The sequence below is a fragment of the Homo sapiens genome, chromosome 12 (genome assembly GCF_000001405.40).
Source record: "Homo sapiens chromosome 12, GRCh38.p14 Primary Assembly".
NCBI lineage: Eukaryota > Metazoa > Chordata > Mammalia > Primates > Hominidae > Homo > Homo sapiens.
Genome location: NC_000012.12, coordinates 122,355,711 through 122,376,334, shown reverse-complemented (window position 1 = coordinate 122,376,334; position 20,624 = coordinate 122,355,711). Strand labels below are relative to the sequence as shown.

General features: G+C 45.3%; 1 protein-coding gene and 1 pseudogene across 24 annotated transcripts in view; one reads left to right on the top strand and one right to left on the bottom strand.

The window, feature by feature from the left end:
• CLIP1 (CAP-Gly domain containing linker protein 1) overlaps positions 1-20,624 on the top strand; it is a 151,488-nt gene that overhangs the window by 46,622 nt on the left and 84,242 nt on the right. For all 24 annotated transcript variants that reach the window (XM_047429314.1, XM_047429321.1, XM_047429320.1 and 21 more), the window contains exons 4-5: positions 12,228-12,352; positions 15,154-15,376. In XM_047429314.1, the coding sequence (XP_047285270.1) occupies positions 12,228-12,352; positions 15,154-15,376 (348 nt within the window). The remainder of the gene's footprint in view (positions 1-12,227; positions 12,353-15,153; positions 15,377-20,624) is intronic.
• On the bottom strand, positions 10,661-11,593 carry RPL21P1 (ribosomal protein L21 pseudogene 1; annotated as a pseudogene).

Below are 20,624 nucleotides of genomic sequence, written 5' to 3'. Positions count from 1 at the left end.
ACGCCTGTAATCCCAGCATTTTGGGAGGCCAAGGTGGGAGGATCACTTGAACCTGGGCAACAAAGTGAGACCCTGTCTCTATAAAAAATAAAATAATTGGCCGGGCGGGGTGGCTCATTCCTGTAATCCCAGTAGTTTGGGAGGCTAAGCGGGTGGATCACTTGAGGTCAGGAGTTCAAGACCAGCCTGGCCAACATGGCGACACCCCGTCTCTACTAAAAATACAAAAATTAGACAGGCATGGTGGCAGGCACCTGTAATCCAAGCTACTTGGAGGTTTAGGCAGGAGAATCACTTAAACCCAGGAGGTGGAGGTTGCAGTGAGCCAAGATCGCGTCACTACACTCCAGCCTGGGCAACAAAGCAAGACTCCATATAAAACAAAATTAAAATAAGCCGGACATGGGGTCTCACGCCTGTAGTCCCAGCTACTCAGGAGGCTGAGCCTGGGAGATGGAAGCTGCAGGGAACTATGATTATGTCATGGCACTCCAGCAAGACCCTGTTTCAAAAAAAAAAAAAAAAAGAGTAACTTTATTGACAAAATAAGCTCAGAAGTGAACTTAGATGTGTTTATAAAAATTGGATTTTTTTTCCCCTTCTGATTTTTAATTTTTGGTTTAGTGAAATTATATGGGTGTGTATAAGATTCTGCTACCTTAAATGGCTTGGAAAACTCAAGGCATCAGAGGATGTTACTCAAGAATTTCTGGGCCAAGGCCAGGTGCAGTGGCTCATGCCTATAATACCAGCAGTTTTGGAGGCCGAGGCAGGCATATCACCTAAGGTCAGGAGTTCAAGACCAGCCTGGTCAACATGGTGAAACCCCGTCTCTACTAAAAATACAAAAATTAGCTGAGCTCAGTGGCACACACCTGTAATCCCAGCTACTTGGGAAGCTGAGGCAGGAGAATTGGTTGAACCCAGGATGGGGAGGTTGCAGTGAACTGAGTTTGCGCCACTGCACTCTAGCCTGGGCAACAGAGTGAGACTCTATGTCAAAGAAAAAAAAAAAAAAAGAATTTCAGGGCCTTTCAAATGATAAGGTTTAGATTTAGGAAGAGGAAGGAAATGTACAGTAGCTACTGTTTGACTAATAAGCAGAAACACAAGGTGTAAGGTCTACATGCTCTACATTCTAGAACCTCAGAATTTAGTGATTTTTTTTTTAAAGAGGGGCAGCGTATCATAGTGCTAAGAAGACAAACTAAGTCCCTGCTTTGCCTTTGGGACCTCAGTGAGATATTTAACAACTTTGTTTCCTAACCTCCATAAGCAAGGCTACAGTGCTGCATTTAGATTATATTTGATATTTCTAGGATGTGATGTCAGGTTCTTGGACAATTTGACTGACGCCCAGCTGTTGTGTTTCAACGTGGTTGTCTCCATGCCTTGGACTGCATGTTCTGTGCTGAATTTTTAGCTCATGACCATATATGAGGAGGTGACTTGTCAGCTTTTTAGATTTGAACTGACAAGCTTTATCTTTCTGTGAGCTACTCCCCAGGGCTCTTACACTAAGAATCTTAGAGTAGAATTTTCTTGTTCTCAACACTCTTTTTTTTTATTTTTGGAGACAGAGTCTCGCTCTGTTGCCCAGGCTAGAGTGCAGTGGCGCGATCTTGGCTCACTGTAACCTCCGCCTCCTGGGTTCAAGCAGTTCTCCTGCCTCAGCCTCCTGAGTAGCTGGGATTACAGGCGCCCACCACCATGCCCAGCTACTTTTTGTATTTTTAGTAGAGACAGGGTTTCACCATGTTGGTCAGGCTAGTCTCAAACCCCTGACCTCGTGATCCACCCGACTCGGCCTCCCAAAGTGCTGGGATTACAGGTGTGAGCCACCGCGCCTGGCTGCTAATTTTTTTTTTTGGTATTTTTAGTAGAGACGGGGTTTCACCATGTTAGCCAGGATGGTCTCGATCTCTTGACCTCGTGATCTGCCTGCCTCGGCCTCCCAAACTGCTGGGATTACAGGTGTGAGCCACTGCGCCCGGCCGCTATTTTTTTTTTTTTTTTTTTGTATTTTTAGTAGAGACGGGGTTTCACTGTGTTAGCCAGGATGGTCTCGATCTCCTGACCTTGTGATCTGCCTGCCTCCGCCTCCCAAAGTGTTGGGGTTACAGGCGTGAGCTACCACGCCCAGCCTAATTTTTGTATTTTTAATAGAGACAGGGTTTCACCATATTGGCCAGGCTGTTCTCAAACTCCTGACCTCGTGATCCGCTCTCCTTGGCCTCCCAAAGTGCTAGGATTACAGGCACGAGCTCAACACTTGTTATACAGGTCTTTGATACTGTGAAAGGGGAAAAATATCTTCCTGAGAATTAAAAAAAATATTTACAAGATTTGTTTTGCTTGTGTTTGAACCTTAAATAACTATAATTTATCCAGTATGTGCTTTTTTTGTGTCTGTCTTCATTTGCTGAACATTATTTTTGTGAGGTTTGTCTATAATATGTAGAAGTGAAACACACACATAGTGAGGTCTTATTACATATAAGCCATTTTCATAATATGCTTTCGTAGATTGTAGACTGTAGATTTGGGGCACTTGTATGGAAGCAAATACAGGTCTTAATTTAAAACAGTAAGCTGCTGTTTCATATTATACTCTTTGGATGTACTATACCTAATTTAATCATACACATTTAGATTGCACCCATTTTTCCCCTAGAAATGAAATTTGAGTCAAGGGGTATAAATAATTTAAAATTGTTAATAGATATTGCCAAATTGCAATCCAAAAAGCCTTTATTTTTGTTTCCACAAACAGTATACAAGTATGTCCTTCCTGGTAAGTTTTTTTTTTTTTCAGTCTTACTGGTGCTTTTTTTCACCTTGTTTATTAAGTTAATTAAAGCTCTTTTTTTAGATTCATTTACCATATTAACTTTTTTTTTTTCTTTTTTTTGAGACAGAGTCTCACTCTGTCCCCCTAGGTTGGAGTGCAGTGGCGCAATCTTGGCTCACTGCAACCTCTGCCTGCCGGGTTCAAGCGATTCTCGTGCCTCAGCCTCCGGAGCTGGGACTACAGACGTGCGCCACCACACCTGGCTAATTCTTTGTATTTTTAGTAGAGATGGGGTTTTGTCATGTTGCCCAAGCTAGTCTTGAACTCCTGAGCTCAGGCAATCCACCTGCCTCTGCCTCCCAAAGTGCTGCGATTACAGGCGTGAGCCACCACGCCCGGCCCTTATTAACTTTTTTAATTAAATTTTTTTTATTACCGTAGGTTATTGGGGAACCAGTGGTGTTTGCTTACGTGAGTGAGTTCTTTAGTGGTGTTTTGTGAGATTTTGGTGCACCCATCTTCCGAGCAGTATACGCTGCACCTAATAATTCGATTTTTTCTGTTTTTCTCAATCCTCTTATCGGTGACTTAGAACCTCAAACCTATGAGCCTGGTTGTGACCTTGCATTTACATTGAGTGTTTCTTCATTGTCTACTTGGGGAATTCTTGGGCTCTTTTTGGGTGGGAGTTTATGCTCTGGGGAAGTTGTTCTTTACCTGAAATCCATTTGCCTAGATTGCTGATGGAGTAGTTAGTGGCAGGATTTGCTGTTTTGTGTGGTCCACAATTGAGAAGATGCCAGATAGTCACATTTAGTTAAAAGCCCCTTTTGGCTGAATCTTGAGATCGTTTCTAACACAATGGATTTTACTTAGCTTAATTCCTTTGCGATGAGGTTTGCTGCAGATTTGAATAATTATTTTTTCTGATTTTAGTTTTGTTTTTTTTTTTTTAATCAAGATGGAATCTCGCTCTTTTGCCCAGCTGGAGTGCAGTGGCATGATCTCAGTTCACTGCATCCTCTGCCCCGTGAGTTCAAGCGATTCTCCTGCCTCAGCTTCCCAAGTAGCGTAGCTGGGATTACAGGCACCCACCACCACACCCGACTAATTTTTTTTTTTTTTCTTTAGACCAGGTTTCACTCTTGTCGCCCAGGCTGGAGTGCAATGGCGCAATCTCACTGCAACCTCCGCCTCCCGGGTTCAAGTGATTCTCCTGTCTCAGCCTCCTGAGTAGCTGGGATTATCTGGATGTGCCACCACGCCTGGCTAATTTTGTATTTTTAGTAGAGACGGGGTTTTTCCATGTTGGTCAGGCTGGTCTTGAACTCCTGACCTCAGGTGATCTGCTCGCCTCGGCCTCCCAAAGCATTGGGATTACAGGTGTGAGCCACCACACCCAGACTGTATTTTTTTTTTTTCCCCATAGAGACAGGGTTTCACCATGTTGGCCAGTATGGTCTCGAACTCCTGACCTCAAGTGATCCGCCCACCTTGGCCTCCCAAAGTTCTGGGATTACAGGCGTGAGCCACTGTGCCCGGCCAAGTTTTTTTTTCATTTTTCAGTTTCCCAGTTCTAAACTTCACCTAGTGTAACCTTTTAGGGTTGTCCAGGAGGGAAATACATGGCCCCTTATGCTGCTGCAGAGAAGCTGCGTTAAGCAGCTTTTTCCTGTTTGCACACAGCAGACTCAGTGGGGTCACATTTTAGCAGGTCATCGTTGTCAGTGCTCTTCCTGCTCCTTGCTTTCAGTTTTGAGAGGGTTCCCCAGTTTTCCTTTTGAGGCTTGGAAACACAGGAAACCGTCCACCTGCCTGTCAGATCCCATGCCTCTGGTCTCACTGTCCATCCTCCTCGCCTGTGTCCTGTGCCCTGTGCCCTGACTGCTTTGGGTCAGGCCATCATCATCTTTACCTGGACTTGCATGGCACCGTCCATGCCACTTGCCTTGTCTCTCCTCACCTCTATTCTTTGCACAATTACAGAGAGATCAATTAAAATGTCAATTTGGTGATGCTGTTCCTTTGCCTAAACTCTTTTTAATAGTGCCCAGTCTGCCTGCAACGTTGGCTTTGATTTTCACAATGTTTGGAGCGTTTTCTATGGTGCTCAGTAATTGGGCGGTGGTTTCTTTTTCTAAACCTGAGCCAATATCCTAACCCCAAAGGTGCCAAATTTGGTGTCTGTCTAGACTTGAGAACTTTGTATAGGCTCTTGGGGCTTGGGAGTTTGGAGCTTTTCTGTGTTGAGGAGCCCATGCCACTGCTTTGGGACTTGGGGAGAGGGAGGTTTGGCCACACAGGCCTGAGTACTGAGTGCCAGTGTTGTCTTATTACTGGATCACATCTCCTAACTTTTAACAACTTTATTGTCCCTGTGAATTCTCTAAGCATAATCACAAAAATATCTTGAGCCTCAGACACTTGGTAGCTTATGATCTTTTGTAGATTTAAAAAGCAAACTTTGCTAATATTTTGGTCAAGTGGGTGCCATATAAAAGACTGCTTCTGGTGAATAAATATTCTGCATTTTATCAACCCCCAGGGTTAGAAGAGGTGATTTTTTTTTTTTTCTTTTTTTTTTTTGAGACAGAGTCCTGCTCTGTTGCCCAGGCTGGAGTGCAGTGGCATGATCTCGGCTCACTGCAACCTCTGCCTCCCAGGTTCAGGCGATTCTCTTGTCCCAGCCTCCCATGTAGCTGGGATTACAGGCATGCATTACCCTTTCCTGTGTCTTGATATTCTTGGGGTCCTGGATCCTGTGGAAGCTCAGATGCCTTTCAGAAGCGGAGATTAAGTAGTTCCGAGACATAAAGTGCAAGTCAAGTAAAACATCATCTTTTAGCCAAAGCGTCTATTCATAATTGTGCATCTTTTGTTTACCTGTTAGTTCTAGGGAGTTAGACTTACAAGAGGGTATCTGTTATATGTCATCTGCTCTTGTCATATTTCTTTTTAAGGGGATTTATTTAATGTCACCTGTTAGAGATTGGGAGACTCAAAATGATATCATAAAAGGAATAAAGTAACTGGGACTGTTTATTTAGCCTAGAGAAAATATGATGGCTTTATAAAGGCTGTGTTTAATGCTCTGCAATTCATTCAGAAAATATCCTGAGCGTCTGCTATGCACCGGAAGTTGTTCCAGGTGTTGTAGATATGGCACCAACGAAGACCAACACATCGTGATCTAAAGGGGCTCCTCATGGCATTAAAATAAAAATCGAAACTCCTTCCTTGGACTTGCAGTGCCCCTTGTTCTCTGGACCCTGCCCACCCTCCCGACCTCTTGTCCTTCTCACACCCCTTTCTCACTCTGCTTCAGCTACACTGGCCCCTTTGCTGTTTCTTTTCTTTCTTCTTCTTCTTTTTTTTTTTTTTTGAGATAGGTTTTGCTCTGTTGCCCAGGCTGAAGTGCAGCAGCGCCATTTCGGCTCATTGCACCCTCTGCCTACAGGGCTCAAGCAATTGTCGCGCCCCAGCCTCCTGAGTAGCTGGGACTACAGGCGTGAGCCACCACAGCTGGCTAATTTTTGTATTTTTAGTAGAGACAGGGTTTCGCCATGTTGCCCAGGCTGGTCTCGAATTCCTGTCCTCAAATGATCTGTCTGCCTTGGCCTCCCAAAGTGCTGGAATTACAGGTGTGAGCCACCATGCCTGGCCCCCTTTGCTGTTTCTAAACACCCAGACTCATTCCCACTTTAGAATTTGTTGTTTCTTCTGCTTGGGATGTTTTGTGCCCGGTGCCTCGTGGTCACTTAAGTCATGCTCAAGTGTTACCTCCTCAGGCATCCCTTCCTTGGCCACCCCAACTAAAGACACCTTCTATGGCAGTGTCACACTACCCTGTTTTATTTTTTTCATAGCCCTCTTCACCAGTTGAAAATTATCTTTCATTTTTTTACTTGCTTATTGTCCATTTCTCCCTGCCCAGAATTTAACCTCCATGAAAGCACGGAAACTTTCTGTCTCATTCACTGTCACACCCACAACACTTAGGACAGGGCCTGGCACATAGTAGGAGCTCATTAAATAGTGTGGAGAGAATCAGAGGGTTTTGAATACAGTCGTCACTTTATACCCATGAAGGAGAGAGTAAAGTAGGGCAAGCAGAGGTCGACTTAGGACCAGTGAAGATTTTACCCTTCTCTGTAGGAGAGTTGCTGGAAGGTGAACTGGCCCTTCACTGGAGGTAATTATATTACTTGAGGTAATCAAAAGTGGCCAGACGTGGTGGCTCACGTCTGTAATCCTAGCATTTTGGGAGGTCAAGGTGGGTGGAATCAGTTGAGGTCAGGAGTTGGAGACTAGCCTGGCCAACATGGTGAAACCCTGTCTCTACTAAAAATACAAAAATATTAGCCGGGCGTGGTGGCACATGCCTGTAATCCCAGCTGCTTGGGAGGCTGAGGCAGGAAAATCTCTGGAACCCGGGAGGCAGAGGTTGTAGTGAGCTGAGATCATGCCACTGCACTCCAGCCTGGACGACAGAGCGAAACTCCGTCTCAAAAAGAAGGAAAAAAAAAAAAGTACCGTGCTTTGGCTCTTTCATGTCACAGGCAATTAAGTTTTAAGTGAGGCTTACATTTGTATTTGGCAAATACCAGCTAACCATGTTTATTTTATTTTATTTTTTTTTTATTGAAGTGCAGTGGTGTGATCTTGGGTCACTGCAACCTCCACCTCTGGGGTTGAAGTGATTTTCCCGCCTCAACCTCCCGAGTAGCTGGGATTACAGGTGCTTGCCACCATGCCCGACTAATTTTTGTATTTTTAGTAGAGACAGAATTTCAGGCCTGTCTCAAACTCCTGACCTCAAGTGATCTGCCTGCCTCGGCCTCCCAAAGAGCTAGGATTGCAGACATGAGTCACCCCACCTGGCCTCCATGTTTACTTTTTAAAATAAGCTGTTTATCTTGGAATATGGCAGATAAGAAGCCACCTTACAAGACTGCTCACAAAATTCCTGTGAAACAACCCCTCATTACTGCTCTTGAGACATTTTATAGCTTTATGCACTCAGGCACTGTGAGATTAAATGGCTTGCCGAGAACTGGATAATGAAGAGATGAGAGAGTCCAGAGAGGATTGTTTCTGTTTCCTGTTTGTAGACACCCACTCATTAACCCAACAGGAATTTATCAGTGTTTTTATTTTTTACAGGAGCGTACAGGAAGGGTATTTGTTTCTGTTCCCACAGCATTTTGTAGAAATCTCTTGATGTACTTAACACTTTTTACAGGAATTTCTTGTCTGAATCTTCTTGTCTGTCTCCCTCAATGGCCAACGCTGTATTCTGTTTATCCTTGTTTTTTAAGGATCCAAACACTCAAGAAATATATATTGAATAAATAAATGAGAACTTAAAAATCTGAGGTTTGCTAAAGCATAAAAATAGTATCTAGGGTTTTTTTTGCGTTTCTAGTTTAAATTAATTCTGTCTTCAGTAGTGACTTTTACCACAGTATTAGGAGTTACATGCTAACATTCTGAGAGTAAAGAGAACGAATTGGGCTTGTTTGTGTTTGCCATGGGAATCTATCTTTTAGTTTTTTTGTTTGTTTTTGAGACAGGGTCTCACTGTCTTGTCCAGGCTGGAGTGCAGTGTCATGATCATAGCTCACTTGCAGCCTCAGTAGCTGGGATCACAGGCACATGCCACCATGCCTGGCTAATTTTTAAATTTTTGTAGAGATGGAGTCTCACTGTGTTGCCCAGGCCAGTCTCAAACTCCTGGCCTCAGATGATCCTCCTGCCTTGGCCTCCCAAAATGGTGGGATTACAGGCATGAGCCACTGCACCTGGCCTTGTTTTTTGTTTCAATATTGAAAATGTTTTTCTTTAATAACTTAGATATTTGTCTTAGAACATAGATTTCTTAGATATGATTTGATAATAGTGCCTTCTGTTTATTGTCAATGCATTATTTAATGCTTCTGTTTCCTGTACGTGCATGTACTAGACTTTTCTGCATTGTCTGGAACACATGAGAAATAAAACCTAACTTTGTAAAGTCCCGTTGAAATGCGTAAACACGTTTTTTGATTGTAGAATGATTAAGTAGAAAAACATTTGATGATTTTAGGACTTCACCTGACTTTCTGTCTCCATAGAATAACTACTGATTTTTTACAGGGAAAAGAAAAATACATTTTCTGTTAAATGAGTGAAGAGTTCCATGTTTGGTGGGAGAAAGAATATAAGAAAACTTTTTGTTCTAGGAACTAGTAATCATTCATTTCAGACAAATTTTGTGACATAATTTTTTTTTCAGGATACATGTATATTACCTGCATTTAGAGAAATAGTTGCTAATTTGTTATTTGTGATTACTTTTTACAAAGCTGATCTGAATGAAGCTTGTAGTTTGCTTGGAGAATTGTTGACTATAGCCTATTAGATGCCTCTTGGAAAAGCAATTGTCATGACAGTGACTTCGACTCATCCCCAAAGAATTTAACACATTGTCTGAAGAGGTTGCATCATCTTTAACTAATGTGCTGTGTCCTGCTCACATGATGCTGGCTGGACTGCTGCTCTGAATGGTGTGGTGTGGGAGGAAGGAGAAAATTGAGGCCGACTTTATTTTCTTTTGACTCAACTGCAGTGAGACCAATTTTATATAGGTGATGATTTGTGTGTTAGTACTAACGAGTACTAAAAGGTCAAATGTGTCAAGTCTAGAACTAGTACTCTTTTTTTTGAGACAAGGTCTCACTCTGTCACCCAGGCTGGAGTACATTGGCACAGTCTTGGCTCACTGCAACCTCTGCCTCCTTGGTTCAAGCAACTCTTGTGCCTCAGCCACTTGAGTAGCTGGGATTATAGGCATGTGCCACTGCATCCAGCTAATTTTTGTATCTTTAGTAGAGATGGAGTTTCACCATGTTGGCCAAGCTGGTCTCGAACTCCTGGCCTCAAGTGATCCGCCTGCCTTGGCCTCCCAAAGTGTTGGAATTACAGACCTGAGCCACCGCACCCAGCCTAGGAAGGATAATTTTAATAGTTGTGAAGAAACAGAGAGCCTCACTGTGGAAAATAGCAAGAGTCAATTATTATTTTTTGAAACAGTTTCTTGTTCTATTGCCCAGGCTGTAGTGCAGTGGTGTGATCATGGCTCACTGCAGCCTTGGGGACTCCAGCGATCCTCCCACCTCAGCCTCCCAAAGTGCTGGGATTATAGGTGTGAACTTCCACACTGGGCCAATTATTTTTTGAAGTACTTTTTTTTTTTTTTGAGACAGAGTCTCTCCCTGTCGCCTAGGCTGGAGTGCAGTGGTGTGATCTTGGATCATTGCAACCTCCGCTTCCCGGGTGCAAGTTATTCTTGTGCCTCAGCCTCCCAAGTAGCTGGGACTACAGGCGTGAGCCACCACACCCAGCTGATTTTTGTATTTTTAGTAGAGACAGGTTTTTACCATGTTGGCCAGGCTGCTCTCAAACTCCCAACCTCAGGTGATCCACCCACCTTGGCCTCCCAAAGTGCTGGGAGGCGTGAGCCATCGTGCCTGGCCTATTTACTTTTTTATTTTTTTGAGGTGGAGTCTCACTCTGTCACCCAGGCTGGAGTGCAGTGGTACAACTGTGGCTCACTGCAGCCTCAAACCCTTGGGCTCAAGCAATCCTCCCACCTCAGCTTCCTGAGGAGTGGGACCACAGGCGCACACCACTATGCCCGGCTAATTTTTTTTATTATTTGTACAGACAGGGTCTTCCTTATGTTGTCCAGCCTGGTCTCGAACTCCTGGGCTCGAGCAGTTCTCCTGCCTGGGCCTCCCAAAGTGCTGAGATTACAGGCATGAACCACTGTGCCCAGCCACAAGTTTGTTTTGAAGCAGGAGCAGTTCTTTCTTTTTTTTTTTTTTTAAATAGCCCAGAGGTCCTTTATTTTATTTTATTTTTTAACATCTATTATGCCATGAATTCATAGGGAATAGGTTCCAGCAGCTCAGGCTCCTTCCCATTGGTTCTCACAAAGTGTGCTTCTCTGGGTGGAGCAGGCTGGCGCTTGAGTTGAACCCAGGTCCCTTGCTCTTTGGCTTCTTTCTTTTTCTGATCATTTTCCTTCACGCGTTTCAGGAAGCTATCTTGGCTCTTAGAGTGCTTAATGTGCTCCATACGCACATTATTTCTCTTGGCAAGAATCTTGCCCTTGTTTGTTTACAACAATGCCAACAGCATGCTGGGTAACATTGTAGACTTCCACTTTTGCCATGGTAACACTTGTGGGGCATTCCTTTTTGAACAGTACGCATTCCTTTGATGTCTACAATATCACCTTTCTTTTTTTTATTTTTATTTTATTATTATTATACTTTAAGTTTTAGGGTACATGTGCACATTGTGCAGGTTAGTTACATATGTATACATGTGCCATGCTGGTGTGCTGCACCCATTAACTCGTCATTTAGCATTAGGTATATCTCCTAATGCTATCCCTCTCCTCTCCCCCCACCCCACAACAGTCCCCAGAGTGTGATGTTCCCCTTACTGTGTCCATGTGTTCTCATTGTTCAATTCCCACCTATGAGTGAGAACATGCGGTGTTTGGTTTTTTGTCCTTGCGATAGTTTACTGAGAATGATGATTCCCAATTTCATCCATGTCCCTACAAAGGACATGAACTCATCATTTTTTATGGCTGCAATATCACCTTTCTTATAGATTTGCATATATGTGGCCAAAGGAGCAACTCCATTTTTTCTAAAAGGCCTAGAGAACATATATCGGGTGCCTCTCCTCTTTCGCTTTGTGTTCGTCATTTTGGCGAATTACTGGAAGATGGCGGTTCCGGCCGAAAGGCGAAGCAGGAACATTTCTGTTAGAAAAATAAAGTGAGGTCCAAGAGTGGTGGCTCACGCCTGTAATCCCAACACTTTGGGAAGCTGAGGTGGGCAGATCACTTGAGCCCAGGAGTTCAAGACCAGCCTGGGCAACATGGCAAAACCCTGTCTCCACAAAAAATACAAAAAAAAATAGCCTGTTTGGTGGTGTGCACCTGTAGTTTCAGCTACCCAGGAGGTTGAGGTGGGAAGATCCCCTAGCCCGGGAGGTCAAGGTTGCAGTGAGCCATGATGGTGCCACTGCACTCTAGCCTGGATGACAGAGTGAGACCCTGTCTCAAAAAAAAAAAAAAAAGTATTTTCTAAGAAAAGCAATAATGAACTTGGTGAACAGCCTTAATGACTGCATATTAGATTGGCTGTCTCATTATTGCAACATATTAGGCATCAAATCACTCTGGTAATATAAGTCAGCCAGGTAAGTTTCTTTGCCAGACTTCCTTCAAGAGAACTCTTAGAGTCAAAGAGAAGCTAAAGCAAAGAAGTTGCTGGTGGAAATGATGGAATGTAGTACCTAGTTACTAGTAGGGACCACAAACGATTAAGCTATAGAGTGATGTTCATCTCTTTATTTTAACCTTCTCTTCTTCCAGGTTGGTGGCACTAAGGCTGGTGTAGTCCGGTTTCTTGGGGAGACCGACTTTGCCAAGGGGGAGTGGTGTGGCGTGGAGTTAGATGAGCCACTTGGGAAGAATGATGGCGCTGTTGCTGGAACAAGGTTTGTTTGGCGTTGTGCAACATCTTGTGTCACTCTTGTACGTGACGATGCTCAGGCCAGTCTCACCAAGCGTGTATCATAACATGGAAAGTTGTGTTTGGAAGAGTGGCACTTTTATTTCCTAAGACCCATCTGCTAATTTTTTTTCCCCACACTAAAATTGGGGCTGTTCTTTTTGACTGTCTCCTTAGTAATACATGTAGTATGTCTGAGTAGATTCTGAACAAGCATTCTGTTTATTTTTCAAAATAGGAAATACCATGTTATCTGTCTGGCTTCTCTCCCTTTTGATAGGAGTTGACTTCTGAAAGAATACCTGGGCGTCTGGGGAGGGGGCGGGGGCAGAAGGTAGCCACCTTTATTAGGGAAAAGAACTGCAAAATGTGTCTTCATATTTGATGAGAATTCCATCCTGCGGCAGGAGAACAGACCGCCAAGCGGACCTCTTCCATCGTAAGGATAACCCCATTCTTTTTTTTTTTTTTTTGAGACAGGGCCTCTGTCTGTTGGCCGGGCTGGAGTGCAGTGGCGCCATCTCGGCTCAGTGCATGCAACCTCCCCCTTCTGGATTCAAGCAATTCTCCTGCCTCAGCCTCCCAAGTAGCTGAAATTACAGGCGCACGCCACAATGCCTGGCTAATTTTTGTATTTTTAGTAGAGACGGGGTGTTGCCCAGGCTGGTCTCAAACTCCTGGGCACAAGTGATCCACCTGTCTTGGTCTCCCAAAGTGCTGGTATTACAGGTGTGAGCCACCGCGTCCAGCCTGGATAACCCCGTTCTTGCCTCCCAGACACAGGATGGGAGTACAGTAATGCACACAGATGCAGAAGGAATTTCCCACTTTTCTTTTCAAAATGTTTTGAAGGCACAGGTGTTGTCTATGATGCATTATTAGTAGTATACAGTACATTAATGCATCACTTGATTATTAAAATGTGGTAGTTAACATTTTACTTATAAAACAGACAAATTGGTTATAAGCAAATTAATTATAGAGAAAAGGGCTTTATCTACCAGATACAGTAATTATGACTCATAGAGATAAAGCTCTCTTGGAACTGCAATGATTATGAAGCCATCTTTTCTTCATATTAAAACACTGTAATCCTTTAGAGTCATGGCATTGCCCATGTCAGTCTGAAAATAGACATTAATAGTTAATATTTCTCCATGTTTACTTTTTTTTTTTCCCTCCAATGCCGTTTTGTTTTTTCTGGGTCTTCTCAATGCTATACTTGCAGAGTACTTTATCTTTTTTTTTTTTTTTTATCATATTTTTATTGAAACAGATATTAAAAATTTTCAATGAACTTTTTTTTTTTTTTTTTTTTTTTTTTTTTTTGAGATGGAGTCTTGCTCTGTTGCCAGGCTGAAGTGCAGTGGCACAATCTTGGCTCACCGCAACCTCTGACTCTCAGGTTCAAGCGATTCTCCTGCTTCAGCCTCCCGAGTAGCTGGGATTACAGACACACACCACCACGCCCAGATAATTTTTGTATTTTTAGTAGAGACTGGGTTTCACCATGTTGGACAGGATGGTCTCGATCTCCTGACCTCATGATCCGCCCACCTTGGCCTCTGGAAGTTCTATTACAGGCGTGAGCCACGGCGCCTGGCCTCTTTTTTTTAACTAGATTTTTCCTGTATGTTAGCCATTTTGTATTTATATTTCTCTACAGTTAAGTTTGGGTAGATTTTTTTTTTTAATTAAAAAAAGTATATATTTTTTGGGCGGGGCATGGTGGCTCACGCCTGTAATCCCAGCACTTTGGGAGGCCAAGGTGGGCAGATCACGAGATCAGGAGTTCGAGACCATCCTGGCCAACATATTGAAACCCTGTCTCTACTAAAAATACAAAAATCAGCCAGGCAGGGTGGCGTGTGCCTGTAGTCCCAGCTACTCGGGAGGCTGAGGCAGGAGAATCGCTTGAACCTGGGAGGCGGAGGTTGTGGTGAGCTGAGATTGCGCCGCTGCACTCCAGCCTGGGCAACAGACTGAGACTTTGTCTCAAAAAAAAAAAAATTATACATTTTACTTATTTCAATAGGTTTTTGGGGAACAGATGGTGTTTGGTTATATGAATAACTTCTTTTGTAGTGATATCTGAGATTTTGGTGCGCCCATCACTTGAGTTTTTTATTTGTTTGTTTTGAGACAGAGTCCACCCCGTCACCCAGGCTGGACTACAGTGGTGCAATCTCGGGTTACTTCAGCCTTGACCTCTTGGGCTCAAGAGAGCCTCCTGCACCACCATGCCTGGCTAGTTTTTGTATTTTTTGTAGAGACGGGGTCTGTCCATATTGCCCTGGCTGGTCTTGAACTCCTGGGCTCAAGTGATCTGCCGCCTCGGCCTCCCACAGTGCTGGGATTACAGGCGTGAGCCACCACGTCCAACTCTTCATGTTTACTTTAATGGATCTGCCAAAGTTAGGTGCCTGTTTGATTTCCTTTCCCTTTGTTTGGCACGGTTTTATTAAATGGGCTTGTTCTATTGCTAAACTCCTCTGCTGTACATTTATCAGGTTGTGAAAATATTTATTTCCTTTATGCAGAATCTCAGCAACAGGTGAGCAATTCTGACTCTGTGTATCATATTGTCACCAGTGTGTGTTCTAAACCATCACTGAGGTTGTTAGCCTACATACATGTGACTGCTACGTGCTGGTGTGTAACCCCAGCTTAGCTGTAGAATTTCCAGGAATCCAACCGTAAGTTAGGAGTTGGGAGAACCTTTTGGTTATAGTTATTATTTCTTGTGATTAAGTTGTTTTTTGTTATTGTTCTTATTGTTCTCTAAAGGTATTTTCAGTGTCAACCCAAATATGGCTTGTTCGCTCCTGTCCACAAAGTTACCAAGATTGGCTTCCCTTCCACTACACCAGCCAAAGCCAAGGCCAACGCAGTGAGGCGAGTGATGGCGACCACGTCCGCCAGCCTGAAGCGCAGCCCTTCTGCCTCTTCCCTCAGCTCCATGAGCTCAGTGGCCTCCTCTGTGAGCAGCAGGCCCAGTCGGACAGGACTAGTAAGGCCCCTTTCTCACTACCTGCCTCCACTTCCCAGGCAGGATTAAGGCCCGTGGTCAGTGCCCCTGCTTTGCTGCTTTGCTGCTTTGCTTGTCCTTGTGCTGAATGTTGCTCACAGCTTTTGCTGTGAAAGTCTTTGCAAGTAAGTTTTGAAAAATGTAACTCCAGCAAGAATGCGTTTTTTGAAATCAGAAAGTGCTTTTAATAGTCCCTTTCAGATTCTTAAAAGCTTAAAAATGCATGTGTTCTTGGTGAATCTGTATAACTACTGCCTAGTCTAACACAGGGGTCAAATTATTTTCTATGAAATTATTTTAGGACAAAATGATAGGAACATTGGAGAGATCCTTTTCTTCAAGTCCATAGATCTGTCTCTCCCTCTCTCTCTTTTTTTTATTTTTTCTTTTGAGTCAGGGTCTCACTTTGTCACCCAGCCTCAACGTCCCAGGCTCAAGCAGTCCTGCTGCCTCAGCCTCCCCAGTAGTTGGGACTACTGGTGCACACCACCACGCCTGGTTAATTTAATTTTTTTTTTTTTTTTTTTTTTGTAGAGAGAGGGACCCACTGTGTTGCCCAGGCTGGTCTCGAATTCTTAGGCTCAAGCGATCCTCTTGCCCTGGACTTCCAAAGTGTTGGGATTTACAGGCGTGAGCCACTGCTCCCAGCCTCTCTTTCTCTTTGACTTCAAATAATTTTAGGAAGTGAAGTGTTTTGAGAAAAGGTGTGTTAATAGGATTTTAATGTTAATACAACCTGACCTACTGGAAGCAGTTAGTGTGTGAAGTGTCCCTGACTTGAGCCAGAGGACACTAAAGGGAACTCTTGGAGCTGGAAGAGGATACTAGGAAAGCCTGTTTTGATTACTCTCTTCTTTCCTCTTCTTCTCCTGGTCCCTTTCCCTCTCTCCCTCTTTTTCCTGTTTAGAGCAGTAAAAATAGAATCACTAGCATTAAAATAGGCAACACCTCATTCTGTTTATTAAGGTGTTATTTTATTAGGGTCAAAGCCCTGCCCATAAGTTTATTACCTAGAAGTGGGGCAAATACTGTTTAAGTTAGAAATGGCGGCATCAGACTTTCCTCAGACTGAGTTCAGGTCTCCGCTGGGTGGTGGGGAACCGCAGACCAGGAGCTAGGATGTTGCGTTGTGCTGCGGGGAGGAGGTGGTTAGCCCAGGATCTCACGGTGCCTGCTCTTCCATTGTCGTCGGGCAGAGAAGGGACAGGTGCTGAAATCTTCACGTGGGGCTGTGCTCCTCTGCCAGCCATCTAGGCTTCCTTCCTCTATGTTCAGGTAGAATAAGTACTGCTCAGAGCATTTCCATTTGCGCATAAAGAGGAAGCCTGCATCTTCAACAGAAAAATTACTTTTATGAGAAAAGCATGACAAGAACAATGAAATGGAGAAGAGCCCCAAACCCCTGTGTTCAGACAGAGCTTTGTTTAATGTGGGTCAGAAACTCTGATAGGGACAGCTTGCCTCCTTTGCTGTTCTAGGAACAATTCCATGGGAGGGTCTATTCTGGATTAGGAATTCTTTCTTGAGTAATTTTTATTACCTTTTAATTGTGTCCATTTCTTTGGGAAATAGCAAGCTCTCCCTGCTCCCGCCAATCTCTCCTCTTACTTTTTGGACCAGTTCTTGTACCTCTTAGCTCACCTCATTCAGTGAAAATTGACAAAAGAGACGTGAGTTTCTGTACCTGTGAGACAGCTTATTTTTGTGTCTTTATGGTTTCTAAGCCAAAAATCACCATAAAATAGTATGACAAAGATAGAGAAATTGAAAGTGTCATTTCAGTTACTTTGCTCAGAAATGTATTTCTGTTTTAGAAAAACAAAAATTGAAAAAAATTTAATTCATTCTTTATTTGTTTTTATTTTTATTTTTTATTTTTTTGAGATGGAGTCTTGCTGTTGCCCAGGTTAGAGTGCAGTGGCACGATCTCAGCGCACTGCAACCTCTTGTCTCCCGGGTTCAAGCGATTTTCCTGCCTCAGCCTCCCAAGTAGCTGGGATTATAGGCACACGCCACCATGCCCGGCTAATTTTTGTATTTTTAGTAGAGACGAGGTTTCACCATGTTGGCCAGGCCAGTCTCGAACACCTGACCTCAGGTGATCTGCCCGCCTCTGCTTCCCAAAGTGCTGGGATTACAGGCATGAGGCGTGAGCCACCACACCTGGCCAATTCATTCTTTTTTTTTTTTTTTTTTAAAGTCAACTATTTATTGAGGAAATACCATGTGCCAGACAATGTAATAAGCATTTTACAAAGTTATCTCATTTTATCTTACATTTTATCAAACAATCCTATGAAATATATACCCAATTTACAGATGAGAAAACTGAGGCTCAACTGAAGTCAGGTAGCTCACTGAAGGTAAAATAGCTAAGAAGTGATGGAGCTAAGACTTGTATACAGAAACTGGACCTTAAGTCATTATGCCATACTGCCCCCTTCCATATCTAACTCAATATTTCAACAAGTGGTTTTTTTTTTCTTTTTTCTTTTTTTTTTTTTAATTGTTCATTCTTGGGTGTTTCTCGCAGAGGGGGATTTGGCAGGGTCATAGGACAATAGTGGAGGGAAGGTCAGCAGATAAACAAGTAAACAAAGGTCTCTGGTTTTCCTAGGCAGAGGACCCTGCGGCCTTCCGCAGTGTTTGTGTCCCTGGGTACTTGAGATTAGGGAGTGGTGATGACTCTTAACGAGCATGCTGCCTTCAAGCATCTGTTTAACAAAGCACATCTTGCACCGCCCTTAATCCATTTAACCCTGAGTGGACACAGCACATGTTTCAGAGAGCACAGGGTTGGGGGTAAGGTCACAGATCAACAGGATCCCAAGGCAGAAGAATTTTTCTTAGTACAGAGCAAAATGAAAAGTCTCCCATGTCTACCTCTTTCTACACAGACATGGCAACCATTCGATTTCTCAATCTTTTCCCCACCTTTCCCCCCTTTCTATTCCACAAAACCGCCATTGTCATCATGGCCCGTTCTCAATGAGCTGTTGGGTACACCTCCCAGACGGGGTGGTGGCCGGGCAGAGGGGCTCCTCACTTCCCAGTAGGGGCGGCCGAGCAGAGGCGCCCCTCACCTCCCAGGCGGGGCGGCTGGCCGGGCGGGGGGCTGACCCCCCCCACCTCCCTCCCGGATGGGGCGGCTAGCCGGGCAGAGGGGCTCCTCACTTCCCAGTAGGGGCGGCCGGGCAGAGGCGCCCCTCACCTCCCGGACGGGGCGGCTGGCTGGGCAGGGGACTGACCCCCCCATCTCCCTCCCGGACGGGGCGGCTGGCCGGGCAGAGGGGCTCCTCACTTCCCAGTAGGGGTGGCCGGGCAGAGGCGCCCCTCACCTTCCGGACGGGGCGGCTGGCCGGGCGGGGGGGGCTGACCCCCCCCACCTCCCTCCCGGACGGGGCGGCTGGCCGGGTGGCGGGCTGACCCCCCCCACCTCCCTCCTGGATGGGGTGGCTGCCGGGCGGAGACGCTCCTCACTTCCCAGACGGGGTGGCTGCCGGGCGGAGGGGCTCTTCACTTCTCAGACAGGGCGGCTGCCGGGCGGAGGGGCTCCTCACTTCTCAGACGGGGCGGTTGCCAGGCGGAGGGTCTCCTCTCTTCTCAGACGGGGCGGCCGGGCAGAGACGCTCCTCACCTCCCAGACAGGGTCGCGGCCAGGTAGAGGCGCTCCTCACATCCCAGATGGGGCAGCGGGGCAGAGGCGCTCCCCACATCTCAGACGATGGGCGGCCGGGCAGAGACGCTCCTCACTTCCTAGATGGGACGGCGGCCGGGAAGAGGCGCTCCTCACTTCTAGATGAGATGGCGGCCGGGCAGAGACGCTCCTCACTTTCCAGACTGGGCAGCCAGGCAGAGGGGCTCCTCACTTCCCAGACGGGGTGGCGGCTGGGCAGAGGCTGCAGTCTCGGCACTTTGGGAGGCCAAGGCAGGCGGCTGGGAGGTGGAGGTTGTAGCGAGCCGAGATCACGCTACTGCACTCCAGCCTGGGTACCATTGAGCACTGAGTGAACCAGACTCCGTCTGCAATCTCGGCACCTCGGGAGGCCGAGGCTGGCGGATCACTCGCAGTTAGGAGCTGGAGACCAGCCCGGCCAACACAGCGAAACCCCGTCTCCACCAAAAAAATACGAAAACCAGTCAGGCGTGGCGGCGCGCGCCTGCAATCGCAGGCACTCGGCAGGCTGAGGCAGGAGAATCAGGCAGGGAGGCTGCAGTGAGCCGAGATGGCAGCAGTACAGTCCAGCTTCGGCTCGGCATCAGAGGGAGACCATGGAAAGAGAGGGAGAGGGAGACCGTGGGGAGAGGGAGAGGGAGAGAGGGAGAGGGAGAGAGGGAGAGGGACCCAATTCATTCTTTAATAACCAGAATGACTTCATGTTACTGTGTGCGCTGCTGTTGGGCTCTACACATCTAGTCAAGCCTTGGAATCTGATTTCTCATCACCAACCTCATTTCCTGTGCATGTTGATTTTTGCATCATACTTTCATTTTCGTCATGGGAATAGCCAAAACCCAGCTTTGAAAGTACATGATGTTATTGAAAGGACTGTAGGACAATCTAATGAGACTGAATTGCCTCAAACTAGTAGTTTGCACAGAGTCCAGCAGATGTCGCTGTGTTTCTCTTGAAATTTTAAAACATCCTACAGTGCACTGGTGAGTTTGCTCAGCACCCTGGGGCATCTCTGCACATGGTTTGGGAACCACACATTTAATGTATTCAGGAAGAAATATTAGCAAGAGAAGGTATAATTTAGCTATATAATGAAATTGGAAGGTCAAGGTCAAATGGTTAAAAAAGACAACAGGAGTTTCTTCCTGGTATGTTTAAGTAATTTCAAGAACAAAAGGTTGATTCTTTTGTAGTTCTCAAGTTGCCGAGTTATTAATTGAGGAAAGATCCTCGCTGTAAGTCTGCATCCTGTGCATCTTGCAGTAAGGGCCTAGGGAAACCGATGAAGAGAAGAGCTTTCAGGCGACAGCTGCAGCAGCTCTGACTGCAGAAGATGAAGTCAAGGCTGACTTGATCTGGAGCCAGCAGTGGCTGAGCAGATGGCCTTTGGCGCGGTGGCTCACACCTGTAACCTTAGCACTTTAGAGTTCGAGAACAGCCTGGCGAACATGGCAAAACCCCGTCTCTACTAAAAATATAAAAATTAGCTGGGCGGTAGTGGTGCACGCCTGTGATCCCAGCTACTTGGGAGGCTGAAGCAGGAGAATCACTTGA